General features: G+C 39.4%; 1 protein-coding gene across 8 annotated transcripts in view; it reads right to left on the bottom strand.

Moving 5' to 3' along the window:
- Positions 1-23345, bottom strand: part of KLHL20 (kelch like family member 20) — a 71712-nt gene that overhangs the window by 47479 nt on the left and 888 nt on the right. For 6 of the 8 annotated variants that reach the window (XM_017001052.2, XM_017001053.2, XM_005245093.5 and 3 more), the window contains 2 exons: positions 23148-23211; positions 4928-5501 (listed from right to left, as the gene is read on the bottom strand). In XM_017001052.2, coding sequence (XP_016856541.1) covers positions 4928-5501; positions 23148-23211 — 638 coding nt within the window. The remainder of the gene's footprint in view (positions 1-4927; positions 5502-23147; positions 23212-23345) is intronic. The other 2 variants (XM_024446468.2, XM_024446472.2) reach the window with 1 other exon arrangement.

Raw genomic sequence — 23345 nt, 5'->3', positions numbered from 1 at the left:
GTAGTTCCAGATACTCGGGAGGCTAAGGCAGGAGAATCGCTTGAATGTGGGAGGTGGAGGTTGCAGTGAGCTGAGATCGTGCCACTGTACTCCAGCCTGGTCGACAGAGCAAGACTCCATCTCCAAAAAAAAACAAGACTTGGTACCAATCCTATGGACACTATTCCAAAAGACAGAGAAAGAGGGAATCCTCCCTAAATCATTCTATGAAGCCAGTATCACCCTAATACCAAAACCAGGAAAGAACATAACAAAGAAACAAAACTACAGACCAGTATCCCTGATGAACATAGATGCAAAAATCCTCCACAAAATAATAGCTAACTGAATCCAACAGCATATCAAAAAGATAATCCACCATGATCAAGTGGGTTTCATACCAGGGATGAAGGGATAGTTTAACATATGCAAGTCAATAATTGTGATATACCACATAAACAGAATTAAAAATAAAAATCATATGATCATTTCATTAGATACATAAAAAGCATTTGACAAAATCTAGCATCAATTTATGATTGAAATGCTCAGGAAAATCGGCATAGAAGGGACATACCTTAAGGTAATAAAAACCATCTATGACAAACCTGCAGCCAATATTATACTGAACAGGAAAAGTTGAAAGCATTCCCCCTGAGAACTGGAACAAGACAAAGATGCCCACTTTCACCACTTCTATTCAACATAGTACTTTAAGTCCTAGGCAAAGCAATCACACAAGAGAAAGAAATAAAGGGCATCCAGGACCAGGTGCAGTGGCTCATGCCTGTACTCCCAACACTTTGGGACACCGAGGCAGGTGGATTGCCTGAGCTCAGGAGTTTGAGACCAGCCTGGGCAACATGGCAAAACCGTGTCTCTACAGAAAAATACAAAAATTAGCCGGGCATGATGGTGCGCATCTGTAGTCCCAGCTACGTGGGGGGCTGAGGCGGGAGGATCGCTTGTGCCCTGGAGGTCAAAGCTGGGGGACAAAGCAAGACCTCATCTCTTATAACAAACAAACAAATGAAATAAAGAGCATCCAAATTGTTAAAGAGAAAGTCAAACTGTCGCTGTTTGCCGACAATATGATTGTATACCTAGAAAACCCTAAAGACTCATCCAAAAAGCTCCAAGAACTGGTAAATGAATTCAGTAAAGTTTCAGGGTACAAAATTAATGTACACAAACCAGTAGTACTGCTATACACGAAGAGCAACCAAGCTGAGAATCAAATCAAGAACCCAACCCCTTTTATAATAGCTGCAAAAAAAAAAAAAAAGATAAAATACTTAGGAATATATCTCACTACAGAAGTGAAAGGTCTCTACCAAAACACTGCTGAAAGAAATCATAGATGACACAAACAAATGGAAACACATCTCATGCTCATGAATGGGTAGAATCAATATTGTGAAAATGTCTATACAGCCAAGAGAATCTATAAATTCAATGCAATTCCCATAAAAATACCACCATCATTCTTCACAGAACTAGAAAAAACAATCCTAAAATTCATATGGAACCAAAAATGAGCCCACATACCCAAAGGAAGGCTAAGCAAATCTGGAGGCATCACATTACCTAATTTCAAACTATTTTACAAGGCTATAGTCACCAAAACAGCATGATACTGGCATAAAAATAGGTACATAGACCAATGGAAAGAATAGAGAACCCAGAAATAAAGCCAAATAGTTAAAGCCAACTGATCTTTGACAAAGCAAACAAAAACATAATGTGGGGAAAGGACACCCTATTCAGCAAACAGTGCTGGGATAATTGGCAAGCCACATGTAGAAGAATGAAACTGAATCTTCATCTCTCACCTTATACAAAAACCAACTCAAGATGGATCAAAGACTTAAATCTAAGACATGAAACCATAAAAATTCTAGAAGATAACATTGGAGAAACCCTTCTAGACATTGGCTCAGGCAAAGAGTTCATGATCAAGAACCAAAAGCAAATGCAACAAAAACAAAGATAAATAGATGGAACTTAAACTAAAAAGCTTCTGCACAGCAAAAGAAATAATCAGCAGAGTAAATAGACAACCCACGGAGTGGGAGAGAATGTTTGCAAACTACAGATCCAACCACAGACTAATATCCAGAATCTACAAGGAATTCAAACAAATCACCAAGGAAAAAAACAAATAATTCCATCAAAAAGTGGGCTAAAGACCAATAGACAATTCTCAAAAGAAGATATACAAATGGCCAACAAACATATGAAAAAATGCTCAACATCACTAATGATCAGCAAATCAAAACCACAATGTGATACCACTTTACTCCTGCAAGAATGGCCATAATTTAAAAAATAAAAACATAGGCCGGGTGCGGTGGCTCATGCCTGTAATCCCAGCACTTTGGGAGGCCAAGGCGGGCAGATCACCTGAGGTCAGGAGTTTGAGACCAGCCTGGCCAACATGGTGAAACCCCATCTCTACTAAAAATACAAAAATTAGCTTGGTGTGGTGGCAAATCCCTGTAATCCCAGCTACTCGGGAGGCTGAGGTGGGAGAATCGCTTGAACCCGGGAGGCGGAGGTTGCAGTGAGCCGAGATCATGCCACTGCACTCCAGCCTGGGCAACACAGTGAGACTCTGTTTCAAAATTAAAAAAAAAAAAAAGATGTTGGCATGGATGTGGTGAAAAGGGAACACTTTTACATTGCTGGTGGGAATGTGGACTAGTGCAACCACTATGGAAAACAGTATATGGAGATTTCTTAAAGAACCAAAAGTATATCTACCATTTGTTCCAGCAATCCCACTACTGGTTACTGCCCAGAGGAAAAGAAGTCATTATATGAAAAAGACACTTGCATGTGCATGTTTATAGCAGCACAATTCACAACTGCAAAAATACGGAACCAGCCCAAATGCCCATCAATCAACAAGTGGATAAAGAAAATGTGGTATGTATATATACCACAGAATACTACTCAGCCATAAAAAGGAACAATATATTGGCCAGGAACAGTGACTCACGCCTGTAATCCCAGCACTTTGGTAGGCTGAGGCAAGCAGATCACAGATCACTTGAGGTCAGGAATTTGAGACCAGCCTGGCCAACATGGTGAAACCCCATCTCTAATAAAAATACAAAAATTAGCTGGACATGGTGGCATGTACCTATAGTCCCAGCTACTTGGGAGGCTGAGGCAGGAGAATCACTTGAACCCAGGAGGCAGAAGTTGCAGTGAGCTGAGATTGAGCCCCGTTGCACTCCAGCGTGGGCAACAGAGCAAGTGAGACTCCATCTCAAAAAAAAAAAAAAAAAAAAAAGATAGAATGGCATTTGCAGCAATCTGGATGGAGTTGGTTGGAGACCATTATTCTAAGTGATGTAACTCAGGAATGGAAAACCAAAAATGATATGTTCTCACTTATAAGTGGGAGCTAAGCTATGAGGATGCAAAGTCGTAAGAATGACACAATGGACTTTGGGGATTCAGGGGGAAGTGTGGGAGGTGGGTGAGAGATAAAAGACTACACATTGGGTACGGTGTACACTGCTCGGGTGGTGGATGCACCAAAATCTCAGAAATCATCAATGAAGAACTTATTCATATAATCAAACACCACCTGTTCTCCAAAAACTATTAGGGGGAAAAAAACTATGGTCCTGAGCTGACCACTTTACTGCAAAATAAATAAAAATATGATTTTTTAAAAAGTTGTAAAACAGACCATGTTTTGTCTTTGCTTAAAACCCTTTAATGGTTTTCTAGCACTCTTAGGATCAATCTCAAATTCTTTTTTTTTTTTTTTGAGATAGGGTCTGGTCTGGCTCTCTCACCCAGGCTGGAGTGCAGTGGCACGATCTTGGCTCACTGCAACCTCTACCTCCTGGGCTCAAGCCATCCTCCCACCTCAGCCTCCTAAGTAGCTGGGACTAAGGGTGCACGCCACCATGCCCGACTAATTTTTGTATTTTTTGTAGAGACAGGGTTTCGCCATGTTGCCCAGGCTAGTGTTGAACTCCTGAGCTCATGCAATCTGCCCGCCTCAGCCTCCCAAAGTGCTGGGATCACAGGCATGTGCCACTGCACCAGGCCAATCTCAAATTCTTAACATAGTCTATCAACCTCAGTGTGATTTAGCCCTCTTCTTTCTGTGTAATCACTATGTAACATCCTCTACCCCCCTTGGTCTCTGGGTCTCACTGGGTTTTTTTCAGGTCTTCAAACTAGTGATGCTTTTTAATGTCTTGGGATTTTGCACAAGTTGTTCCAGCACCAAAGTTAAATTTCTCTGTAATACACTCTTAAATCATCCAGGACTGCTTCTTTGTAACACCCATTAACTGTAGTTAATTATTTGTATAATTAAGCATTTAATGATTATCTTCCCTGCTAGATTATAAACTCCATGAATACAGAGACTCTAGATTTCTTGTTCACTATTGTACCCTATGCTCCCAAGCACAGTGGCTGAAACATAGTAGCTTTACAAATATTTGTTAAATAAATAAGGGAAAGATAGGTTTAATGAAAATTATTTTGATAACATCTAAACTCATCTTTTCAGATTATTAGTTTACCAAACAACCTATAATCTATAATTTATTCTGAATAATCCACATAATCAGGAAGGAAATATCTTATATAAATCATGATACCAGGTATCCTATCAGGCATAGATCCTCTTGTGAATTACTCTATTTTGGCTTATAAATAAACCTTTTTAAAAATTTTTTTTTAAATACTTTTATGAATACAGTTAGGGAGAATAAATCCCTAAATCTTAACTTGCTGGTAGAACACAAAATTGCCCTCTAAAATAAAAGCCAGGTTTAGGATTTATAATAACTTATTTATTTGCTATTATGAGTTAGAATCAGCAGGAAATACCCAGGCAAGTGTTATTTAGCAGAATGTGAACCCATATTGCTCTCCAACAAATGGGTGCATTGGAACACCAAGTGCAACTCACCTCTTGAAAGTTATGTTGGGTGAACTTGTCTGCTATCCTTAGCAACTCACGACATGAATGTGTGTCAGCAAAAGCCCGAATGCCCAGGCAGTTAGAAGGATCTAATTGTCTCTTTAAGAATTCACAGCAGGCTTCCTGTATTTCTGCCAGCTGGAGGAGGCAAGCAGCTGGCAGAAGAGTCTGAACATTGCCCTCTTCTACTGTTATCTGGGAGGTATACGCAAAGTCAATCAGTAATTCCATAGCCCTCTCGTCAATGTCTCGGATCACTACTTCTGTCTGACGGCTCTCTGCCAATTCTCCTGTAAACATAGCTCGGAAGTAGGGACTACAGGCTGACAAAATGACTCGATGGGCATATATCTTCTTGGCGCCCACAACTAGCACCACATCACATAGCTCCCGGTGCTTTCTCAGAAGGTTAATCACTTCCAAGGTTTGTCGAGGGTGCTTGTCTGAGATATAGGGCATGCGGGCAGGTTGGGGAACCCCTTCTGGCAGTTTGTTGGGGTCTCCAAGGGTGCAGCGGCTTGTTACATCCATTCCAGTCTCTCCTGGTCGAATGTTGGTACACCTATAGGAATGATGGGGGAGAGAGAGAAGATGGCAGTATTATTATAAGCTCTTTTCTCCCCTTAAATGTTTGTAATTCAAGCGATAAGGAAATGTAATTAGCTTGGTGATTTTTTTTTTAAATTTTTTGTAGAGATGATGTCTCACTGTGTTGCCCAGATTGGTCTCAAACTCTTGGGCTCAAGTGATCCTGTTGCCTCCACCTCCCAAAGTGCTGGGATTGTAGGCATAAGCCAACATGCCTGGTCTACATAAACCATTTAAATTGAGCTACTATAGCAATAAAACTTTTAGATCAGGTGGTTATGCTTATCCATTTTAAAAATTAAGCCCAAGTTAACACGCTTCAATTAATAGTTAAATTTCAAATTAAAGACAATATAAAAAGTTTGGACTGACGGCCTGGTGTGGTGGCTCATGTCTGTAATCCCTGGGAGACTGAGGTAAGCTTATCACTTGAGGCCAGGAGTTCGAAACCAGCCTGGTGAATGTGGCAAAACCCTGTCTCTACTAAAATTACAGAAAAATTAGCCGTGTGTGGTGGCACATGCCTGTAATCCCAGCTGCTTGGGTGGCTGAAGCATGAGAATCACTTGAACCCTGGAGGCAGAGGCTGCAGTAAGCCGAGATTGCATCACTGCACTCCAGTCTGGGTGACAGAGACTCTGTCTCAAAAAAAAAAAAAAAAAAAAGTCTGGATTGAAGTTTATCTTTATATAGAAATCTTTTCTTCAAAGTTTATTAAAATTAAAATAGTAAAGAAAATGGCAAGCTAAATGATGATTTAGCAGGACTCCAAAGAGCCTCCAGGTCAAGATTTTGTTAGATTAATTTGGGTCTAATTTCATATCTAGAGATATTAAATATGATAAGCTTCATTTAAAAGTACTACATATGTTGAATTGCTCCTGTCAAATTGGTCTGAATCACTGAGGTTTCGGTATGATTATAAAATAAGTGAATAAGTTCATAAACAGACATTCTTCAATTTATAAATAAGTAGTATTTAAAAGTTGAATCTAAAAGTTTATTTGGAGGTTTGCATTTTTCTATGGTAAGAGTGCTGTAAATGGGGACTAGGTTTAGTTGTAAAATTCAGTGCCTCATAAGAAGCATTAAAAAATGAAATAGAAAGTAACAGCATACATTTCATTTAGTTAAGCATGTTCAATTGTGTGTATGTACACACACAAATTTGTATAGATACGCATCACTGCTTCCCCTCGTAAACTGCAGGTTATATCAAAAAAGCTTAAATGCCACTGGCCTGAGTTTTGAAATCCCAAGACAAAAGGAACAATAGGTACAAGAAGGGAGAAGGAAAAGAATCTCTCTCTTTTTCAGATTATTCTACCATTTGTTGTTGCTGGGTTTTTTTACTTATTGATTTTTTTTAATTTTTGAGATGAGGGTCTCACTAAGTTGCCCACGCTGGTCTTGAACTCCTAGGCTCAAGCAGTCCTCCTGAGTAGCTGGGATTAAAGGCACATGCCATCACACTGGTTTTTTTTTTTTTTGAGACAGAGTCTGGCTCTGTCACGGAGGCTGGGCTGCAGTGGCGCAATCTCGGCTCACTGCAACTTCCGCCTCCTGGGTTCAAGTGATTCTCCTGCCTCAGCCTCCCAAGTAGCTGGGACTACAGGCATGTGCCACCATGTCTGGCTAATTTTTCGTATTTTTAGTAGAGACGGGGTTTCACCGAGTTAGCCAGGATGGTCTTGATCTCCTGACCTCGTGATCCGCCTGCCTCAGCCTCCCAAAGTGCTGGGATTACAGGTATGAGCCACTGTGCCCAGCCGTTATTGGTTTTTATTTTTATTATATTTTTAATTTTTTAAATGTTTTTTTAATTATACTTTAAGTTTTAGGGTACATGTGCACAACGTGCAGGTTTGTTACATATGTATACATGTGCCATGTTGGTGTGCTGCACCCATTAACTCATCATTTAACATTAGGTATATCTCCTAATGCTATCCCTCCCCCCTCCCCCAACACAACAGGCCCTGGTGTGTGATGTTCCCCTTCCTGTATTCATGTATTCTCATTGTTCAATTCCCACCTATAAGTGAGAACATGTGGTGTTTGGTTTTTTGTCCTTGTGATAGTTTACTGAGAATGATGGTTTCCAGCTTCATCCATGTCCATACAAAGGACATGAAATCATCATTTTTTATGGCTGCATAGTATTCCATGGTGTATATGTGCCACATTTCCTTAATTCAGGCTATCACTGTTGGACATTTGGGTTGGTTCCAAGTCTTTGCTATTGTGAATAGTGCCACAATGAACATACGTGTGCATGTGTCTTTATAGCAGCATGATTTATAATCCTTTGGGTATATACCCAGTATTGGGATGGCTGGGTCAAATGGTATTTCTAGTTCTAGATCCCTGAGGAATTGCCACACTGACTTCCACAATGGTTGAACTAGTTTACAGTCCTACCAACAGTGTAAAAGTGTTTCTATTTCTCCACATCCTCTCCAGCACCTGTTGTTTCCTGACTTTTTAATGATTGCCATTCTAACTGGTGTGAGATGATATCTCACTGTGGTTTTGATTTGCATTTCTCTGATGGCCAGTGATGATGAGCATTTTTTCATGTGTCTTTTGGCTGCATAAATGTCTTCTTTTGAGAAGTGTCTGTTCATATCCTCTGCCCACTTTTTGATGGGGTTGTTTTTTTCTTGTAAATTTGTTCGAGTTCATTGTAGATTCTGGATATTAGCCCTTTGTCAGATGAGTAGATTGCAAAAATTTTCTCCCATTCTGTAGGTTGCCTGTTTACTCTGATGGTAGTTTCTTTTGCTGTGCAGAAGCTCTTTAGTTTAATTAGATCCCATTTGTCAATTTTGGCTTTTGCTGCCATTGCTGTTGGTGTTTTAGACATGAAGTCCTTGCCCATGCCTATGTCCTGAATGGTATTGCCTAGGTTTTCTTCTAGGGTTTTTATGGTTTTAGGTCAAATATTTAAGTCTTTAATCCATCTTGAATTAATTTTTGTATAAGGTGTAATGAAGGGATCCAGTTTCAGGTTTCTACATACAGCTAGCCAGTTTTCCCAGCACCATTTATTAAATAGGGAATCCTTTCCCCATTGCTTGTTTTTCTCAGGTTTGTCAAAGATCAGATAGTTGTAGATATGTGGCATTATTTCTGAGGGCTCTGTTCTGTTCCATTGGTCTACATCTCTGTTTTGGTACCAGTACCATGCTGTTTTGGTTACTGTAGCCTTGTAGTATAGTTTGAAGTCAGGTAGCATGATGCCTCCAGCTTTGTTCTTTTGGCTTAGGATTGACTTGGCAATGCGGGCTCTTTTTTGGTTCCATATGAACTTTAAAGTAGTTTTTTCCAATTCTGTGAAGAAAGTCATTGGTAGCTTGATGGGGATGGCACTGAATCTATAAATTACCTTGGGCAGTATGGCCATTTTCATGATATTGATTCTTCCTACCCATGAGCATGGAATGTTCTTCCATTTGTTTGTGTCCTCTTTTATTTCATTGAGCAGTGGTTTGTAGTTCTCCTTGAAGAGATCCTTCACATCCCTTGTAAGTTGGATTCCTAGGTATTTTATTCTCTTTGTAGCAATTGTGAATGGGAGTTCACTCATGATTTGGCTCTCTGTTTGTCTGTTATTGGTGTATAAGAATCCTTGTGATTTTTGCACACTGATTTTGTATCCTGAGACTTTGCTGAAGTTGCTTATCAGCTTAAGGAGATTTGGGGCTGAGATGATGGGGTTTTCTAGACATACAATCATGTCATGTGCAAACAGGGACAATTTGACTTCCTCTTTTCCTAACTGAATATTCTTTATTTCCTTCTCCTGCCTGATTGTCTTGGCCAGAACTTCCAACACTATGTTGAATAGGAGTGGTGAGAGAGGGCATCCCTGTCTTGTGCCAGTTTTCAAAGGGAGTGCTTCCAGTTTTTGCCCATTCAGTATGATATTGGCTGTGGGTTTGTCATAGATCTTATTATTTTGAGATACGTCCCATCAATACCTAATTTATTGAGAGTTTTTAGCATGAAGGTTGTTGAATTTTGTCACAGGCCTTTTCTGCATCTATTGAGATAATCATGTGGTTTTTGTCGTTGGTTCTGTTTATGTAACTGATTATGTTTATTGATTTGTGTATGTTGAACCAGCCTTGCATCCCAGGCATGAAGCCCACTTGATCATGGTGGATAAGCTTCTTGATGTGCTGCTGGATTCGGTTTGCCAGTATTTTATTGAGAAGTTTTGCTTTGATGTTCATCAGGGATATTGGTCTAAAATTCTCTTTTTTGGTTGTGTCTCTGCCAAGCTTTGGTATCAGGATGATGCTGGCCTCGTGAAATGAGTTAGGGAGGATTCCTTCTTTTTCTATTGATTGGAATAGTTTCAGAAGGAACGGAACCAGCTCCTCCTTGTACCTCTGGTAGAATTCGGCTGTGAATCCATCTGGTCCTGGACTTTTTTTGGTTGGTAAGCTATTAATTATTGCCTCAATTTCAGAGCCTGTTATTGGTCTATTCAGAGATTCAACTTCTTCCTGGTTTAGTCTAGGGAGGGTGTATGTGTCCAGGAATTTATCCATTTCTAGATTTTCTAGTTTATTTGCACAGAGGTGTTTATAGTATTCTCTGATGGTAGTTTGTATTTCTGTGGGATCGGTGGTGATATCCCCTTTATCATTTTTTATTGCGTCTATTTGATTCTTCTCTTTTCTTCTTTATTAGTCTTGCTAGCGGTCTATCAATTTTGTTGATCTTTTCAAAAAACCAGCTCCTGGATTCATTGATTTTTTGAAGGGGTTTTTGCATCTCTATTTCCTTCAGTTCTGCTCTGATCTTAGTTATTTCTTGCCTTCTGCTAGCTTTTGAATGTGTTTGCTCTTGCTTCTCTAGTTCTTTTAATTGTGATGTTAGTCTTTCCTGCTTTCTCTTCTGGGCATTTAGTGCTATAAATTTCCCTCTACACACTGCTTTGAATGTGTCCCAGAGATTCTGGTATGTTGTGTCTTTGTTCTCGTTGGTTTCAAAGAACATCTTTATTTCTGCCTACATTTCGTTATGCTCAGTAGTCATTCAGGAGCAGGTTATTCAGTTTCCATGTAGTTGAGCAGTTTTGAGTTGAGTTTCTTAATCCTGAGTTCTAGTTTGATTGCACTGTGGTCTGAGAGACAGTTTGTTATAATTTCTGTTCTTTTACATTTGCTGAGGAGAGCTTTACTTCCAACTATGTGGTCAGTTTTGGAATGGGTGTGGTGTGGTGCTGAAAAGAATGTACATTCTGTTGATTTGGGGTGGAGAGTTATGTAGATGTCTATTAGGTCCACTTGGTGCAGAGCTGAGTTCAAATCCTGGATATCCTTGTTAACTTTCTGTCTCGTTGATCTGTCTAATGTTGACAGTGGGGTGTTAAAGTCTCCCATTATTATTGTGTGGGAGTCTAAGTCTCTTTCTAGGTCTCTAAGGACTTGCTTTATGAATCTGGATGCTCCTGTATTGGGTGCATATATATTTAGGATAGTTAGCTCTTCTTGTTGAATTGATCCCTTTACCATTATGCAATGGCCTTGTCTCTTTTGATCTTTGTTGGTTTAAAGTCTGTTTTATCAGAGACTAGGATTGCAACCCCTGCCTTTGTTTTCCATTTGCTTGGTAGATCTTCCTCCATCCCTTTATTTTGAACCTATGTGTGTCTCTGCACGTGAGATGGGTTTCCTGAATACAGCACACTGATAGGTCTTGACTCTTTATCCAATTTGCCAGTCTGTGTCTTTTAATTGAAGCATGTAGTCCATTTATATTTAAGGTTAATATTGTTATGTGTGGATTTGATCCTGTCATTATGATGTTAGCTGGTTATTTTGCTCGTTAGTTGATGCAGTTTCTTCCTAGCCTTGATGGTATTTACAATTTGGCATGTTTTTGCAGTGGCTGGTACCGGTTGTTCCTTTCCCTGTTTAGTGCCTCCTTCAGGAGCTCTTTTCGGGCAGGTCTGGTGGTGACAAAATCTCTCAGCATTTGCTTGTCTGTAAAGGATCTTATTTCTCCTTCACTTATGAAGCTTAGTTTGGCTGGATATGAAATTCTGGGTTGAAAATTCTTTTCTTTAAGAATGTTGAATATTGGCCCCCACTGTCTTCTGGCTTGTAGAGTTTCTGCCGAGAGATCAGCTGTTAGTCTGATGGGCTTCCCTTTGTGGGTTACCTGACCTTTCTCTCTGGCTGCCCTTAACATTTTTTCCTTCATTTCAACCTTGGTGAATCTGACAATTATGTGTCTTGGAGTTGCTCTTCTCAAGGAGTATCTTTGTGGCGTTCTCTGTATTTCCTGAATTTGAATGTTGGTCTGCCTTGCTCGATTGGGGAAGTTCTCGTGGATAATATCCTGCAGAGTGTTTTCCAACTTGGTTCCATTCTCCCCGTCACTTTCAGGTACACCAATCAGACGTAGATTTGGTCTTTTCACATACTCCGATATTTCTTGGAGGCTTTGCTCGTTTTTTTTTTTCATTCTTTTTTCTCTAAACTTCTCTTCTTGCTTCATTTCATTCATTTGATCTTCCATCACTGATACCCTTTCTTCTAGTTGATTGAATCAGCTACTGAGGCTTCTGCATTTGTCACGTAGTTCTCGTGCGGTGGTTTTCAGCTCCATCAGGTCCTTTAAGGACTTCTCTGCGTGGTTATTGTAGTTAGCCATCCGTCTAATCTTTTTTCAAGGTTTTTAACTTCTTTGCCATGGGTTCGAACTTCCTCCTTTAGCTCAGAGAAGTTTGATAGTCTGAAGCCTTCTTCTCTCAACTCGTCAAAGTCATTCTCCGTCCAGCTTTGTTCCGTTGCTGGTGAGGAGCTGTGTTCCTTTGGAGGAGGAGAGGTGCTCTGATTTTTAGAATTTTCAGTTTTCTGCTCTGTTTTTTCCCCATCTTTGTGGTTTTATCTACCTTTGGTCTTTGATGATGGTGACGTACAGATGGGGTTTTGGTGTGGATGTATTTTCTGTTTGTTAGTTTTCCTTCTAACACTCAGGACCCTCAGCTGCAGGTCTGTTGGAGTTTGCTGGAGGTCCACTCCAGAGGCTGTTTGCCAGGGTATCAGCTGCGGAGGCTGCAGAACAGCGGATATTGGTGAACAACAAATGTTGCTGCCTGATCGTTCCTCTGGAAGTTTTGCCTCAGAGGAGTACCCGTCCGTTGGAGGTGTCAGTCTGCCCCTACTGGGGGGTGCCTCCCAGTTAAGCTACTTGGGGGTCAGGGACCCACTTGAGGAGGCAGTCTGTCCGTTTTCAGATCTCAAGCTGCGTGCTGGGAGAACCACTACTCTCTTCAAAGCTGTCAGACAGGGACATTTAAGTGTGCAGAGGTTTCTGCTGCCTTTTTTTTTTTGGCTATGCCCTGCCCCCAGAGGTGGAGTCTACTGAGGCAGGCAGGCCTCCTTGAACTGCAGTGGGCTCCACCACGTTCGAGCTTCCCAGCCGCTTTATTTACCTACTCAAGCCTGGACAATGGTGGGTGCCCCTCCCCCAGCCTCGCTGCTGCTTTACAGTGTGATCTCAGACTGCTGTGCTAGCAATGAGTGAGGCTCTGTGGGCGTAGGACCCTCTGAGCCAGGCGCGGGATATAATCTCCTGGCGTGCCGTTTGCTAAGACTGTTGGAAAAGCGCAGTATTAAGGTAGGAGTGACCCGATTTTCCAGGTGCCATCTGTCACCTCTTTCCTTGGCTAGGAAAGGGAATTCCCTGACCCCTTGCACTTCCTGGGTGAGGTGATGCCTCGCCCTGCTTTGGCTCACGCTCGGTGTGCTGCACCCACTGTCCTGCACCTACTGTCTGACAATCCCCAGTGAGATGAACCCAGTACCTCAGTTGGAAATGCAGAAATCATTCGTCTTCTGCATCGCTCATGCTGGAAGCTGTAGACTGGAGCTGTTCCTATTCGGCCATCTTGGCTCCTCGTTTTTGGTTTTTAAACAGAGGCTTTAGAGAAGCATGATGGCTGGAGCTAGTATACATAAACTGTAGAAGTCTGTAAGTTGGGCATTTCCTGTACATTTAAGTAGGTGTTGTCTAAACTTGTGTTAAAGGACATATTCTTTAGAAGCTGCAATAATTATTTTCCTCTAAAATGGGTTCTGGACAAAAAGGTGGTGGGGTATCTGTAAATTGCTCAAATTTGATGAACACTGCCTTACAGGATCACAGTATATATGTATGTGTCTATAAGTTTTACAAGTTGGTGTTCTTCACAAGTCCTTAAATATGAAAACAGCCCATTCTTGCTTGTGTGGAGATCTAGATATGGAATAGAATGGATCACTGGATCATCTAGCATAATGCCCTCCTTTTACAGATGAAGAAACTAGTTTGGTTACGTGACTTACTCAAAATCAAGAAGCTTTCAGTAGCAGAGCAGGCCTCTGGATGCTTTAGGGTAAACCACGCATCTCCTGAGGTACTGTGAATATTTAATAACTGTAATTCATGTGAATGCTGGGAGGCAAGGAGAGGGAAGAGTTTCTAGGATGATTTAGCAATTCAAAATGAGGTTTTGTTTTGTTTTTTCTTATGTATTATCCAAATTTCTGTACAACTATTTTTAAAAGCCCAAGAAACTCACCAAATACAGATTTTTTTTTTTTTAGATTCAGTCATCATGAAAAACTTCACCAGTGAAATATCAAGAAGAAGAGTCAAATAACTTGGTAAAAGAAGCCTATAAAATGCATTTCATATTTAAGGGAATGAGCATAACAAAGTGAACTTATATCATCACTTTTCTAGCTGAAATTAACGGGGATGGTCTAAGAAATTTTCAGAATTACCTTTAAGTACTTATAAAATACCTAAAATACTTTTATTATGTTTAAAAAGTCATTCCAGATAATATATAAGATACAAATTTGTATCTTTTCTTTGCGACAGGGTCTTGCTCTGTCACCCAGGCTGGAATACAGCGGTTTGATCACGGCTTACTACAGCCTCGACCTCCTAGGCTCAACTGATCCTCCCACCTCAGCCCCCTAAGTAGCTGGGACTACAGGTGTGAGTCACCATGCCTGGCTTGAAAATTTGTATCTTATATTCATATTTCATATGTAGAAATTCAGGTGCTAAATTACTAGGTAAAAGTCACAAATTACTGACAAATAATTAGAAATAAGATATTTGGATTTTTGTATGATCACATTATATAAACATGCAGAGAAAAGACAATCTATGCCTCTTAATTAAAATAATTATTCTTTTAACAAATATTTACTAATTGCTTTTAATGTACACAAAGCATTTTGCTATAGACTGTGGAAAATTCTAAGTAATATAAAGAAGCAATCTCTAGAGGAGGAGATACATGAATAACTAGTAAGAGGGCAACCAGGACAAAAGATGTGGTTCAAACATAAGAATTTTCGGAGGAGGCTGAGCCTAGTGGCTCATGCCTGTAATCCCAGTACTTTGGGAGGTTGAGGCGGGGGGATCCCTTAAGCCCAGGAGTTTGCCATGCCTAGGCAACATAGTGAGGCCCCATCTCTAAAAAAAAAAAAAAAAATCCCCAAAACATATATATCATGTATGTGTATGTGTATATATATATAAAAGAATTTTTGGAGGTGATACATATGTTTAGAACCTTGATTGCGGTGATATCATGGGTATATACATATGCCCAAACTCATCAAAATGTATACATAAAATATGTACCTCAATTATACCTCAATAAAGCTTAAAAGTCATTCAGAAAGGCAAAATCTATGAAGTATATGTTTAACATCATTCAGAAAGATTCTGGATCTCACAGGTATAGCCTATCAGGTTACTACAAAGGTTGTTGTTGTAAAGTAGGAATATTACACTGGGTTTTCCCAGAGCTTAAGTGAAATATCTCACATCCATGCTCCAGATCGTTATATTTCTGTTTCTGATTCTAAACTCATTAAGCAGTCCTCTGATGGAAAATTCTTCCAAAAGTACCATGCTACTTAAAAGGGGGATGACTCAAGCATTCTGATCACTGAGTTTTAGGTCAGCCTCATGTGAGTCTCTCTCAGATGCTAATTATCTACAACTACTGAGAGAGTCTAATATCTAGCCTGCAAAGGACAGCATCCCTATCAGTCTGCTACTTCCAAAGCTGTAGCACTGACGGGAACTACAGTATAATAAAACACTAAAGTGTAAAAGGAGTCTCCTGAGAAGGACAGAAAAATCTATAAGGACATTCTAGGGAGAAGAAATTGCATGTGCATTGCAAAGATATAGCACAAAAATAAAAAACATGGTTCTTCTTTTCTCCAACAACAACCAATTTTTCCAAAACACTTATACATCTGGTAAAAACATCACTGTTTACGCTTGGCAATTTTAAAGACTAAAACATAAAGCTGAGCAGTTAAAGAATAATTTTTACCATCCATATAAACAATCAAGAATGCTTTTAACCACAGAGCTAAAATGGTGCCTTGTACACAGTAGATGCTGAAAGAATAAATCACATGATTAACAGTGGTACAATCAAGCTTCTTTTTTAAAAAAGTAACAATTAAAGACAGAAGACCAAAAATTCCTGGAATACTGACACTGCATGCTGAAAGTAAAGTGTTATTGTCACAACCTTAGTTACATACATAAAGATGCTACTGTTGAACTGAGATATAAACAATTTTTTATTTCACCTAAGTACAATGTGGGTAAACTAAGCTAATGTCTCCGTTTTTCTTTTAAACATACCATAGTGCCAGGCGCGGTGGCTCACACCTGTAATCCCAGCACTTTGGGAGGCAGAGGTGGCTGGATCACCTGAGGTCAGAAGTTTGAGACCAGCCTGGCCAACATGGTGAGGCTCCATCTCTACTAAAAATACAAAAATTAGCTGGATGTGGTGGCGCATGCCTGTAATCCCAGCTACTTGGGAGGCTGAGGCAGGAGAATTGCTTGAACCTGGGAGGCAGAGGTTGCGGTGAACCAAGATTGTGCCACTGCACTACTCCAGCCTGGGAAACAAAAGCGAAACTCTATGTCAAAAAAAAAAAAAAAATTACCATAGCAAAAAAAAATAATGCTCTTATTACTGCATCAGTATAGTAGAATCTTTTTTTCTTTTTTTTAGAAATAAGGTATTGCTCTGTCACTGAGGATGAAGTGCAGTGGTATGATCACAGCTCACTGCAGCCTCAAACTCCTGGTTGAAGCGATCCTCTCACCTCAGCCTCCTGAGGAGGCTCTCAGGTGCATGCTACCACGCCTGGCTTAATTTTAATTTTTTGGTAGAGACAAAGACTCTCTCTGTTTCCCAGGCTGGTCTAGAACTCCTGGCCTCAAGTGATCCTCCTGCCTCAGCCTCCCAAAGTGCTGGGATCACAAGTGTAGGCCACTGTGCCCCCAGCCATTGGTGTCCATCCATATAATTTTCACTTCAGGAAATATCATTCATCTTTTGCCTTTTTTCCTCAACCATTTAAGAATGTAAAAGCTAGCTGGGCATGGTGGCTCACAGCTGTAATCCCAGCACTTTGGCAGGTTGAGGCAGGAGGATCGTTTGAGCTCAGGAGTTTGAGACCAGCTTGGGCAACAAAATGAGATTCCATCTCTACGAAAAAATTTAAAAATTATCCAGGTGTGGTGACATGTGTGACAAGTGCTTCTTGAAAAGCTTGCAGAACCACAAGCCAAGATAAACTTCTTTTCTTTATAAATTACCAAGTCTCAGGTACTTCTTTATTGCAATGCAAAATGGACTAATACGCTATCTAAATGAACATTTCACCTTTCCTACTTCAAAAATTTTGTTTTACTTTGAAAATTAACAACTTGACCTTAAAAAAGATTCAGTTGCACTGACCCTCATTTATAGTCCTAAATATACTTGAATAGAGACAGCTGGAGATTTGAGTGTATAAACCCTCAAAACAGAAATAACATCTCAAAGTGTCACTTCTACTTAGTAGAAGGGGTCCCAATAGGCACTATATTCCACACCTGATTCCACACCAGAAGGCCAAGCTATTAACCTCTTTATTTGAAACTTGGTTGTGAATGTTTTAGTCCCAAGACATCTCATCACGGCTTATTGGATAAAATGAGCATAAGCCTTGGGTGCCTTGGTCCAGTGATCGAGACCAAGATGGAGCAGGAAGGGTAAATCCTCATGCAAGCATGCTAGTTTCCCTTTATATCAGGATAGCAAAAGCCTTCCTAGAATACCCCTCAACAACTACTGCTGACATCTCATTGGTAGCACTGTGTCACACAGCCCTTCCCATATGCAGAGACAACTAAGAACTCAGAGTATTTAATTTTCTAGTGTCTATAGTAGACGGAAGAAAAGAAGAGATGTGCAAGCTAACCTACAGTGCATGCCACACTAGGGAATAGTCAAATCAAGCAAGTATGTTTTACACTATTTTTAAGCATACACTTTAGACTGAGTAGAACAAATTGAAAATTTCAAAGATACGAGATTGGAAATTTTGTCTTCTGAAATTGAACTGAAGGAGTAGCTCAGCTATCCTTCAATGTGAGTAAAAAACTATCAATAAAAACTCTAGATACTGTTAAATAAAATAAGACCCAAAGCATGTAAAGCTTCTTACTCATTTTAGAGACTTTATGGGGCCTTCCTGCTAGGCCCCATCGTAAACACCCCTGGTACTCACTACAGTTCTGTCCTCAGCATTCTCCTTTTCTGTTCTACCATCACTTATGCCTACAGCTTGAAGAACCTTCTTAGTATTGATGACTCACATTTTTTTTTTTAAATTTCTAGCCCAAATCTCTCTTCTGCCCCAGAGTCATATTCCAATCACATGCTGGATATCTCCACCTGGCTGTTTCCTAAACACAATAATCTTAAAGTATATGAAACAGAATCTATTCTTGGCTTACTGAAACCTGTTCCTCTTCCTGTATTTTTCTTTTTAATCTTATCATGGCGGCATCTGGTTTCCTAAGTTTGGAGTCATTTATAACACTATCTCTTCCTCACTCCATGTTCACCAAATCCTTTTGATTTTACTATTATACAAGCTCTCAATTCCATCTACTTCTCTCAACCCTCACTGCCATAGATATACTTCAGGTTCTCATCATCTTTCATCTAAACTACCACAACTACTTTAAATTCATTTCCTTGCCATAATTTCTTCCCTCTTTCCAATCCATCCCCTATGTGCCTAGAAATCAGTTCAAAGAACAAACGATGTATATAATAATGTCCATTGGCTCTTAAATACCTAAAGGATAAAGTTTGAATTCTTTCCCACTGTTGTAGCCTCAATTTCCATGTTTTCTACTTCCCCTTCTTCCTCAAAATACCCTATACTCCACATATACTCACTGTTCCATGCATGTCAGACAATTCTGGGTCTTGGTACTCTCTCTTATCTTTTTTTTTTTTGCACAAGCTGTTCCTTCCTTTTATGGTGTCCTTAATTAACTCCCTTCTTTAGAAGTAAATTCTTATTCTTCCTAGAAGATCTAGCTCAAATGTTACCATCTCTGTGATGCTTCCTCATCTCCACAGAGCAGTTCCCTCCTCTTAAGTTTACATCTCTATTAAAATTCTGTTAACATTGTTTGTTAATTAATTAATTAATTATATTTTAGAGATGAAGTCTCGCCCTGTCATCCGGGCTGGAGTGCAGTGGCACAGTCACAGCTCACTGCAGCCTTGAACACCTAGGCTCAAGTGATCTTCCTTCCTCCTCCATCTCCCAAAGTGCTGGGATTACAGGTATGAGTCACTGTACCACGCCAATACTGTATCATTATATCTGTTCTCATCACTTGATCTGTATCACACAATATACAGGAATAGAGTGGTACTATATAAAGGTTTGATATATGAATAAACCAATTTCTACAATCAAGCTCAGTTTTCTATTTATATATTTAAGGAAAGTTGGAAGAATTAATTACAAAATATTTGGTATCTCTTAATAAAATGAATGATTGAAAATTAATATCTTGGGAAACAAACATATTGTTGGTAAAGACTATGCATTTGTGTAACTCTAAGGGCAAAAATTTGTCAATGTCCACCAAAATTAAAAAAATGTACATAATCTTTAGGCAATTCTAAATCTAAGAATTTATTCTTTTTTTTTTTTGAGACGGATTCTTATGCTTTCATCAGGCTGGAGTGCAGTGGCACGATTTTGGCTCACTGCAACCTCCACCTGCTGGGTTCAAGTGATTCTCCTGCCTCAGCCTCCTGACTGGCACTGTAGCTGGGACTACAGGCACGCACCACCATGCCCAGCTAATTTTTGTATTTTTAGTAGAGAAGGGGTTTCACCATCTTGGCCAGGATGGTCTCGATCTCTTGACCTTGTGATCTGCCCGCCTCAGCCTCCCAAAGTGCTGGGATTACAGGTGTGAGCCACTGCGCCCAGCCAGAACTTATTCTATACTTACACATCTGGGCAAAAACCACCTACAAGGATATTCATTGCAGACAGAACTGGTTGTAACAGCAAAACAGTTGAAATAAATCTCTCTCAAATGGGACTGGTTAACTAAGGTGCATATAGACAATGGAATACTACATAACTATTAAAAGGAATAAGGTAAGTCTATATGCATTTGTTACAATTTACAAAATAATTTTTCTTTTTTTTTTTGAGACGGAGTCCCGCTGTTTAGCCCAGGCCGGATTGCAGTGGCGCAATCTCGGCTCACTGCAAGCTCCGCCTCCCAGGTTCACGCCATTCTCCTGCCTCAGCCTCCCGAGTAGCTGGGACTACAGGTGCCCGCCACCGCACCCGGCTAATTTTTTGTATTTTTTAGTAGAGACGGGGTTTCACCGTGTTAGCCAAGATGGTCTCGATCTCCTGACCTTGTGATCCGCCTGCCTCGGCCTCCCAAAGTGCTGGGATTACAGGCGTGAGCCACCGCACCCAGCCACAAAATAATTTTTCAAGTGAATAAAGATACAGAAGAATGTGCATGATATACTGACAGTGTCCTTTCAAATGCATTTTCTTATTTTTATTTATTTATTTAAAGAGATGGGGTCTCTCTCTGTTACACGGGCAGGAGTGCAGTGGCATGATCACCACAGCCTCGAACTCCTGGGCTCAAGCAATCCTCCTGCTTCAGCCTCCTAAGTAGCTGGGTAGCTGGGAATACAAGTGTGAACCACTATGCCCTACAACATTTGTGTCTTTTTTTTTTTTTTTTGAGACACTGTCTTGCTCTGTTGCCCAGGTTGGGGTTCAATGGTATGATCACGGCTTAACTGCAATCTCTGCCTCCCAGACTCAAGTGATCCTCTCACCTCAGCCTCCTGAGTAGCTAGAACTTCAGGCATCTGCCACAACACTTGGCTAAATTTTTCTTGTTTCCTTTTTGTAGAGATGGGGTTTTGTCATGTTGCCCAGGCTGGTCTTGAACTCTTGGGCTCAAGGGATCAGCCCACCTCAGCCTCCCAAAGTGCTGGGATTACAGGTGTGAGCCACTGTGCCTAGCCATCTTTTCTTTTTAAAAGCTACTAATGTTAGCCAGGTGTGGTGGCTCACGCCTGTAATCCCAACACTTTGGGAGGCCTAGGCAGGGGGACTGCTTGAGCCCAGGAGTTTGAGACCAACCTGGGCAACATGGCAAAACCCTGTATCTACAAAATAGAAATTAAAAAAGTGAAAAGAGAAGACATCTTATATACATTTGTGTATGAACTACAATGCCTCTAAAAGAATGCATAAGAAACTGCTTACAGTGGTTGCCTTTGGGAACTGGGGTCAGCAATGGGAGAGTTAACTTTTCACTGAATATCCTATTGTATCTTTTAAATTTTGCATTGTGCTATGCAAATGATAGTACATAAATAAATGAGGTAATGAAACTTTACTAATAAAATGCCAATTGATTTCATAAAACTTTATAATCAAAAATTAGAATACCTTTAACAATAATTTTCAGTCTTGTTCATAGATTTTTTTTGTTTTTTGGAGGGGGAAAGTCTGCAGAAACTGTTCAGTCCTATTCAAACAATTATTCAGTAATCGTTAGGTGCTAGTGATGCAAATATAGGAAGACATGAGACTAAAAGAGCTCACAATCTAGTAGACAGAATGAACATGTATTCAAATAGTCTCAATATAAAAAGTTACTTCTCAAAGCTTCTTTAATAGCAACTGAGTATAAACCCAGCATTACAGAGACTGCCTTCTGGGTTAAATCAGCAAAAATGACAGCCCAATAAGAAAAGGATAGGGAAGTGTGACCATGATTGAATGTAGGAAGCAGGTGAAAGTAAGACCAGAGACCAATGTGAGTAGGCTAGGCTCTGGCCAAGTGACAGTGATGAAGAAAGAGCCGTAGCTTAACGATTAACAGCACTAGAATTATCCAGCATGATTCTGAATAGCTGACAGTATTATGTAATAAAGCAAGAAAAAAGGAGCAGGTATGAGTGATTAAGCAAATATTTTATATAGACTACTGATAAACCAAAAACATTCCCACACTCTGCTATTCTTTTAAAAAATAATAAGCTCTTATTTTAGCAATTATATAAGATATGACATTTTATGGTAGCTGGAGATGAGACACAATCAGTGGGTTTTGCAATAATGTTAGAAGTAAAGGGATGAAGTATTTAATATTATGTTGTTAATTTTTTCATGTACATTGTGGTAAAATATTATTCCTACTACAGAGTAAAATATAAATAAGATAATGGTATTTTTCATCTTGATAACATCTTTTCATCTGGAGATCTTAAAGCATTTGCAAATGTTCATTAATCCCCAATATCCTGATCAGATACACTAAAGAAGTAAACTGGGGTACAGAGAAGGTGAACAGCTCAAGGTCAATTGATAAACCAATAACAGATTTGGATAAAGATATACATTCTGGTTCTTGCTCCAAGTTCTGAGTTATAAGTCATATTCCCATTATAAAATGTTTCTTCTCTTAAAAGAACTGCAGAAGTTGTTTATCTTTGATGTTAAATAACAAATGATTAAATAGAGTTCAATAAATAGAAAACAAATGTAAAAACCAAAGAAATAGAACTGGGATGATTTTGTATCATAAAGATTCTAGTCTCATTTGTTAGAACAAAATGAGAAAAAACATTATTAAATTCTAGGGTTGGGAGGGCCTATTTATTGTCTATATTTTCCCAGACATTGTTCTATTTTTCTATGGACTAAGTTATTATGTCTAATACCTATTTTAGTCCTTATACAATCTTCCCTACAATGCAGCTATTTTAATTAACAGAACAAATGTATGATTGAACATCAAGGAAATAACCAAAACCATAATTAGGCATGCAGTACAGTATATTATAAATAATTATGATTCTTACATGGGAACAGAATCCTCTACATTTTATAGGGAACTGAAGATTATAATAAATCCATATAGTATCATAATGAACTTAATGATTATTTACTGTAAAAAACATGAAAAAAGGAAAATTTAAGTGTTTAGCACTACATACAATCCACAGCACTTTTCAGAAACAACTTCTGTATTTTATTCTATTAAAAAGCTATTAATTCTTAATATTACTTTTGATTTATTGTAGAACAAGACTCATTAGTTCCAAGCAGAATTTAGTAAGATTGAAACTCTTTTTTAAAAATTTAAATTATTACATGCTGAATTTTAATCAGTGAAACCAAAGGTTTTCTTCCTAAATGCCTACCTGCGCATTGGCTTTCCTTCCATGCACCATGAAAAGTACCCTTCACCACACTCTAAAGCCGAACCTAAGACAACAGAAAAGCAGGAACTTAATAAAAGCTATTTCTGATCTTTACAGTAACAATCTTTATATAATCATTTCACTCATTTCGTCAGTTATCAAGAGTTTCATATCCTATTATACCACAGGCCTTCTGCA

This window comes from Homo sapiens, chromosome 1, assembly GCF_000001405.40.
Source record: "Homo sapiens chromosome 1, GRCh38.p14 Primary Assembly".
Classification (NCBI taxonomy): Eukaryota; Metazoa; Chordata; class Mammalia; order Primates; family Hominidae; genus Homo; species Homo sapiens.
The sequence above is the reverse complement of the archived record's forward strand: the minus strand, read 5'-3'. Positions and strand labels throughout refer to the sequence as shown.